Raw genomic sequence first — 7,669 nt, 5'->3', positions numbered from 1 at the left:
CACTGATTGTCAATTTAATACTTGACATCTTAGTCATTTGACTTAAAGCTTTGACTGCTATTGAGGAGAAATCTGTTGTCATTTCTATTCACTTCAGCAAGTTGATGCTAAGGTTTATGGTGAATCTCCAGGCTTCATAAATCTGGATTCTATAAAACATCAGTGGAGTTCCTTGAATACACTGTGATTACAATACTGGCAGCATAAACACTTTCTTCACATTTTTTTGCCCTGTTACATGCTTCTATCATTTCTGAAAGTAATGCTGAATTAGTAGTTCCATGTATTCATGTCTTCCTGTGCATTATCTGTTAAAATATAGAAAAAATGGCATTGTAACTTTTGTTCATTCTTTGTCCTCAAAACTTAGCATAGAATCTCAAATATGGCGGGCATTCAGTAAGTATTGGTTTACCTGAACTTAACTAAAGGTAATTTGGTTCAAGAAAAAGAGTAATTTTTAGCCATGAAACTCATATATTATTAATTCTTCATATCAACACACAGCCTAAGAATTAATTTTTTAATTTAATCTCTCCTCTGTCCATTGGTTGCCATATTTTAAATTTTATTGTCCCTATGCATAATTAGCTGGTTTCAAGAATCTAAATCATCTTTCTACTTCTATCTCACTTACTCTTTGTCCTTGGATGTCACAACTTTTTTCCTAGATCTAAATTCCAGATAATACTATTGATATCTTGTATAATGTAGAGTGGTACCCTTTATCCACTTTCAGTAGGGCTTGCTGTATGAAAACTTTTCTAGTAGTTCAATATTATTTATTCAGTATTAAACTAGCTACCATAAATCCTTTCTCCAATATGGTTACACAAACATACATTAAAATACACACATAGAGTCTCATCTGTCCATCCTTCAGACCAATAGAATCCATTCAGCTGGGGTTTGGGGAATAACTTTTATCACTGGAGTTGAGTGACGCCAAATGTTGTTTTGTGTCCTTCTCCATATAAGCCAGGTGATTGAAGCAAATGAGCTAACAAAAAAATATAGTTTACAACATGTCAAAAGAAGGTTTTGTACAATTATAACATTTTATCAAAATACCAAAAGTCTTTGCCCTGGAATTCTTGGCTTCACAGAACAGTTTCTTCATTTCTCATAAATATTACCCTTTTTGTCACTGCATTTTAATAAGTTTGATGTGCAAAAATTTACATGAAGTTAGATATTACGTGGTTGATTTTATTTAAATCAGCCTTTGCTAATTTTTAAGTTCCTTTTCTCTGAATAATATATTTTCCCTTCTTAAGAATATTTATTAGTGGCAAGAAACCAATTCAGTCCCACCTGCACAGATAACATCCTTAGAACCTTAGACCTTCTTATTTTCTGAATGAGTGGTCAGTCCCATGACCTTGCCACCTGCCACAGTTGATTGCACCAGGTGGACATTCAGCCAGAACTGCCAGTTGGAATTTGTCTCCAGAGAATATGGAGTTGTTGACCAGAGATATGAGAAGATACAGGCTCTGAATCCAAAACAGTCTTAAGTGTCTGTCACTTGGCTGCCATGAATAACTTAAAGACATTTGGTGTGCAGGAAAACATACGAAAAAAACTGAGCCACAAAAGGAAGCAGGGGTGAGAGAAATATGAACCCAGAGAGTGAGAAAGCAAGAAACAGGGATAACTCGCTTTGTGTCTGATTATGTTATGGTTCTTCGTTTCTTCTTCTAATGGCCAAATTCCAGTTGCCTCTTTTTTTGAAATTAGAACACTTTCTAATTTTTATAAATATCTCTTCCTCACCAAAGGAGATTCAAGCTCATGTCTGCACCTGCAACCACAAGAATTATATAGGCCTCATAGTATGGACTTAATAATGATTATTGGTTAAAGTATATAGACATTAAAGACAATAATTTGCTTTAGATGTTTTGGTTCCAAGGAATCAAATAAATCATTTGGGATCTCATATCTGATAGAATCATGAATGAGAGAGTCCTTGATGAGGGAGAGGTGTTGGGCTAATGTTTTTATCTTATCTCATGTTATCCTCCAAGAAATCTGGGAGTTAGGTGCTATTTCCAGCATTTCATAGATGATGAAACTGAGGTTTAAATAACTTCCTTAATGTCATAGAGGCCTTAAGTGGTGAAGCCAGAATACAAATTTAGATCTTTCCAACTCTAGAGGCCATGTTCTTTTCATATTTAATTCATGTGAAGTTGGTGAGGCTTGTTTCTATGTATAGTTTATGATTAGGCTGTTCTTCCAGTTAATGGTAGATTTTAAAATAAAACTCTTGAAGATGACTGAATATTTCTAATTATAAACTTGCTAAATTAATAGAATGAACAGATTTCTAGTTAAAAGATATATGAAATTGGAAATAACTAATTTCTAAAACCTAAAACGGGACTGAAAGCACTCAAATGCAATTCAAGTATTTATTTCAATTGTGCCTTGTAGAGAGTAAAATATCTTTTCAATATCTTTAATTTCAACATCATTAGCTTATATGAAGATAAAATTGGCAATGTCTTTTGAAAAAATGTACTTAGTGTTCTTTAAACATGTCATATACAAATTAATGTATAAATATATTTATGAAAAATATCTGTAAAGGATGATTCACAGAGACGATCATTTTTATAGTAGTTTTGCAAAACACACTGCAAGTAGTTACTGCACATTTGAGTAAGTGTATCTCATTAATATTAACATAGATTTATCTCTCAGTGACCAAAATACTCCTGTGAAATTATAAGTACTATGTTATTTTTAATGCAATTTCAAAATTTTATATGTTGCCAACAGTTGGTGTAAAATTACACTTTCCAATAAAGAGAATGGTCTGAATTAATGACTCAGTTAGAGCACATTTATTCGTCAAGTTTTATTTTTACAAAATAGATCCACTAAAATAAGTTTGACTAAGCTACTAAAATAAGTCTGTCTATTAAGCAATATTATTTGCAATTATGCTTTGCTGGTGTGTCATCAAAAGAAAAAAAGTGGCTTAAGTCTTCTAAAAGCTATAATTTTGTCATTTTAAACTTTAAAAATCTTGACTAGCAACTAGCAGATTAAAAATAATTTGCATGAGTTTAGGAAAGTAATTTTTGAAACATCACTTGGGGACTTGAATATACTTACACATGCTAAGGCTTCATTGGAGAAAATAATTTATTTTAACTGACTTTACACGAATCTCCCTACGTCTTACACTTACTTATTTTTTTGTTTTTAATGAAAAAGAAGATAAGGAAACCAGTTAACTCTTTGAGATAGGCTCTGTACGTCAGAGAAATATTGATTATACAGACAATCTGGAAAGAAAAAATTAAAAAAAAAAACATAGAAATACCCCAAAACAAGATAAACATCTAGGGAACCAGAAATGAAATTAGATGTAAAAATAGAAAATAGGATCTAAACTTTAGATTTATTAGACTTTGTCTCCAGTGGCAGGCAGAGTAGATAGGGAGTAACCGAGACTAAAAATGGTTCATAGGGGTGGACACTGAATCCAGGCCCGCCAAATAAAGGGGGCAAAGAAAGGCTGTAATTATTCCCAAGGAAATGACTTCCACAAAGAGGGACACCTAAAGATGTGGGAAAAAAATTAAAAAATCTTCCCACTGAAGACTAGTATGAACCTGCTTACTAAACCATGCTGTGACCTGAGATATCCCCAATAATCCTCCGAAGATTAAAGCGCTGACACTATCACATCTGGTTATATGTAAGGAACTATAATATCCAAATTGAGACACTCAAAACTACAGTCAAGAGAAACGTGAGCACAAGAGAGAGAGAGACAGAGAACAAATGCCACTATAGATGTGCCTGCAAACCCAAATTCCAACACAAATGGGAAATGATTGCTAAGAACAATAGGTAACAAAATCAAAATTCAAGAAGTTGTCACTTCAGATACAATATAAAATGATAGATCTAAGGTGACCTAAAATGACTATATTGCAGATTATCAAAGGCATAAGAGAACACTAGGAAACACCAGAGCAGGATGACATTAAACAGAACTAGTTTCAAATGTTAGATATTAAAAATGTAATATTAAAATCAACAAAATTTAAAAAGAGATTGTTTAGGTTGAAAAGAGACATAGCCAAAGAATGAATTCAAATATTTGCTTATCATAATAAATGCACAACAAACATGTAAGACATAGTAAACTTAAGAGCAAAAACACAAAGACGATCAGAGCCCAATGATACATTTAGAGAAATCTAACATTTTTCCTTCCTTGTCTTCTTTCCTTCCCTCCATTCTTCCTTCCTTTTTTCCCTCCCTCCCTTCCTTCCTTCCTTCCCCCTTCCCCTTTCTTTCTTTTTTTCTTTCTTTCTCTCTCTTCTCTCTCTTTTTCTTTCCTTCTCTCTTTCTTTCCTTCTCTCTCTCTCTTTCTTTCCTTCTCTCTCTCTTTGTTTCTTTCCTTCTCTCTCTTTCTTCCCTCTTTCTTTTGTTTATTTATTTTGAGACAGGGTCTTGATCTGTAGCCCAGGTTTGCAGATCACTGCAATCTCAACCACCTAGGCTCAAGTCATCCTTTCACCTCAGCCTCCCAAGTAGTTGGGAATACAGGCATGCACCACTGCACCCTGCTAATTTTTTTTTTTTTTTGTAGAGACAGAGTTTCACCATGTTGCCCAGACTAGATAGATCTAATTCATCTCTAATAGGAATACATGAGAAATGAAATTGAGAAAGAAGTAAACAAACAATTACCCAAAGAGTTAAGACTGAGAATATTCTAGGATGAATAGAATGAATCTTCTGATGGAAAGCACACATAGAACAATAAGCAGGAGAGACAAGCATTAATCATTATATACATATAAGGGTATATATATATGATATAAGGGTCTTGGTGGAGTAATAAACAATTGCAACAGTAAATAATTGTTGCAAGAATAAGTAATGACAAAGAATTTTACATTTAGAAACATTAGAGGAGATTTCCTTCTCCTTACTGTGTACCCATTGGTTAAAATGCTCCATATGTCCATTTTAAAATATTAAATAAAATGTTCAGAACTTTAAGCAGCAGATAGATATTAGGTGGCTTTTTTCTTCCTTTCATTCTTTTTTTCCCTTTTAGTTATTTTTCTTTTGGAGCTCAGTTTCAAATCACTGAGTTAATCATATTTTAAAACTAAAAAACACATTGCCGTCATTAATCTCTGCCAATCATCCTTTTATTTTTGTCTTTCTTTCATGAACACTATTCTTATTCCCCTCATCTCAAAGATAATTTGCTTGATGCATGCCCTTGAATATAGCTTTTTAAAATATGTAATATGTTTTGTGGATATATGTATTTTCAATTTACCTGTGTGGTGAAAATATCATCCTGTTTTCTACTTTTCTTATCCAGACCCCGATAAGGGATCTTTCAGTGTTGCTGAACACATGTTGTTTTATTCTAGTGTTTCATGGTGAACCACAATAAACATCCACTACATTTAAACATCATTATATTGCCACCAATCATGAGATTGCCACCAAATGACTGTCACCACAAGCAATACCATAATCCTTATCATCATCTACCTGTATATGATTCTCGGAATTTCTCTATGATGTATAAAATATTTCCAGACTACTTTTCACTACAAGTGAGTGAAAGTTAACACTATGCACATTTTCTAATAATTGTTATGTTTATCCTTTTAAATTAGAGTCTTTCTGATAAGAGTAATGACTCACTGCCTTGATTTGCATTTGTATAATTATAAATATGAAGTTTCTTTGTATACTGTTTAGCTATGGGAAGAAATCTGATCTATGGTAGTTTGTCTCTTTCATTGGTCCTTTTTTTCCCATTGAAGTTTCTGTCTTTTTCTTGATTAACAGGAGTTATTTCTCTATTTCGGATAACAATCCCTTATGCGTTTTAAATTTAGCCAACAGGTTACCCATTTATCAATGATATCCTTCAGTGAACAGAAAACTTTACATCTGGACACATCCTAACAGTCGGCTTCTTTATGCTGTAGTCTTGTGTAAGAAGTCTTTTTTTGCCCATAGTCCTCAAAGCTATTCTATTAATAATTTTCTTTTCTTTGTTTATGGTGTTAATTTCACATGCTTTTTCTATAATGTGGAATCTGCTTTTGTATTGGGTATAAGAAAGATCCAGGTTTGTGTTTTTCCTTTATAGAGTATATTTTCCTAATATCTTCTAACCATTGATTTATAGTGTCATCTTCATAATATATCAAGTTCTCATAAGTGCATGCATCCATTTCTAAAGTTTCTATTCTGCTTCATTTATCGACTTGTTTCTTTATGTATAAAGATGGTATTAGTTTTACAACTATAGCTTTACAAAATGTCCTAATATCTGAACAGTGTTGTCATTTATCTTCTTAAAGTGAACCTAGCAATCTATTAGGGTTTAGTATTCAACATAAAGTTTGGAATGAAAAATTTGGATCAGTTATATACATCACAAAACCAACATATTTTTTTGAGATTATGTTGACTTCGTAAGCTAATTGAGAGAAAATTCTCAATATTTTAAACATTTACTGTTATAACATTCCCATCATGAATGTGATATACCTTGTTATTTATTCAAATCCTTCTAATCAATTCAATATAACAATCTTTTTCTTAATAAAAACTGTGCATATTTGCTAAATTGGTTTCTGTTTTATAGCATTTCTTAATTTTTCATTGATTCTGTTAGCATTGCTTGTCTAAAATCTGTACTATATACAATATTAGACTATGTTGGCCAAGAAAAAAAGGAAAAACACATACTATATATAATGTCTAATATATATTTATATACCTAATGGATATTACATAAATACTATGTATATGCATCATATACAAATAGATATATATTTTAATTATATATGAATTAAATATTTAATTATATATGAATGTATATATATGCTAAAATATTTAAATATGTATATAATTTTAGAATTCCAGTCTTTTAATTAGTGAGCTGAATCCATTTAGAACATTTAAAAACTACATTACCATAGAAAAAAATATATAGTTACTTTGTACTATCTACAAAGTAACTATGGACTATATTGTGCCTCCCACCCAGAATTCATGTGTTGAAGTCCTAGCCTCCAGTGTGATTATATTTGGAGATGAGGCCTTTGGAAGTATTAGGTTTAGATGAGGTCAGGAGAGTGGAGCCCTCATGATGGAGTCAGTGTCCTTGGTCACCAGAGCCTGCTTCCTCTCTCTGCCCTGAAAGAACACAACGAGAAGGTAGCATCTTCAAGTGAGAAAGAGGGCTCTCACTGGGGAATTGAATTGATGGGCACCTTGATTTTGGACTTCCCAGCCGCCAGAACTGTGAGAAGTAAATTCCCATTGTTTAAGCCATCCAGTCTATGGTGTTTTGTTATGGCATCCCAATCTGGCTAAAACAAATATTTTGCCAAGTTACTTTTTATTTTTTACTTACAATATTTTTTTTCATTTTTTCCTTTCTTGCCCTGCACTTTACAGCGATCAAATTTCATTTGATGGTTTTAAATTCATGCATTGTTTTCAAATGTGTTCTGGTTGCTGCCTCTCCCTCCAACTTTTGTTTTCCATTTACTAATATCTATCTTCCTGTGAGACAGGATAGACACTTTAATACATTCTATGTCCCCGTGCTCCTCAACTCCTTCCACAGACTTTTTCCCTCAGCAAATTCTTT

At 32.6% G+C, this 7,669-nt stretch overlaps 1 long non-coding RNA gene across 1 annotated transcript in view; it reads right to left on the bottom strand.

Moving 5' to 3' along the window:
• Positions 1–229: 229 nt before the first annotated feature.
• The window catches only part of LOC124906087 (uncharacterized), a 46,983-nt gene continuing 39,543 nt past the window's right edge, over positions 230–7,669 (bottom strand). The window contains exons 2-3 of the long non-coding RNA XR_007087280.1: positions 857–1,000; positions 230–308 (exon numbers count right to left, since the gene is read on the bottom strand). This is a non-coding gene — a long non-coding RNA (uncharacterized LOC124906087). The remainder of the gene's footprint in view (positions 309–856; positions 1,001–7,669) is intronic.

This window comes from Homo sapiens, chromosome 2 (genome assembly GCF_000001405.40).
Source record: "Homo sapiens chromosome 2, GRCh38.p14 Primary Assembly".
Classification (NCBI taxonomy): Eukaryota; Metazoa; Chordata; class Mammalia; order Primates; family Hominidae; genus Homo; species Homo sapiens.
Note: the sequence above shows the minus strand (reverse complement) of the source record. Positions and strands in the feature narration are given on the sequence as shown.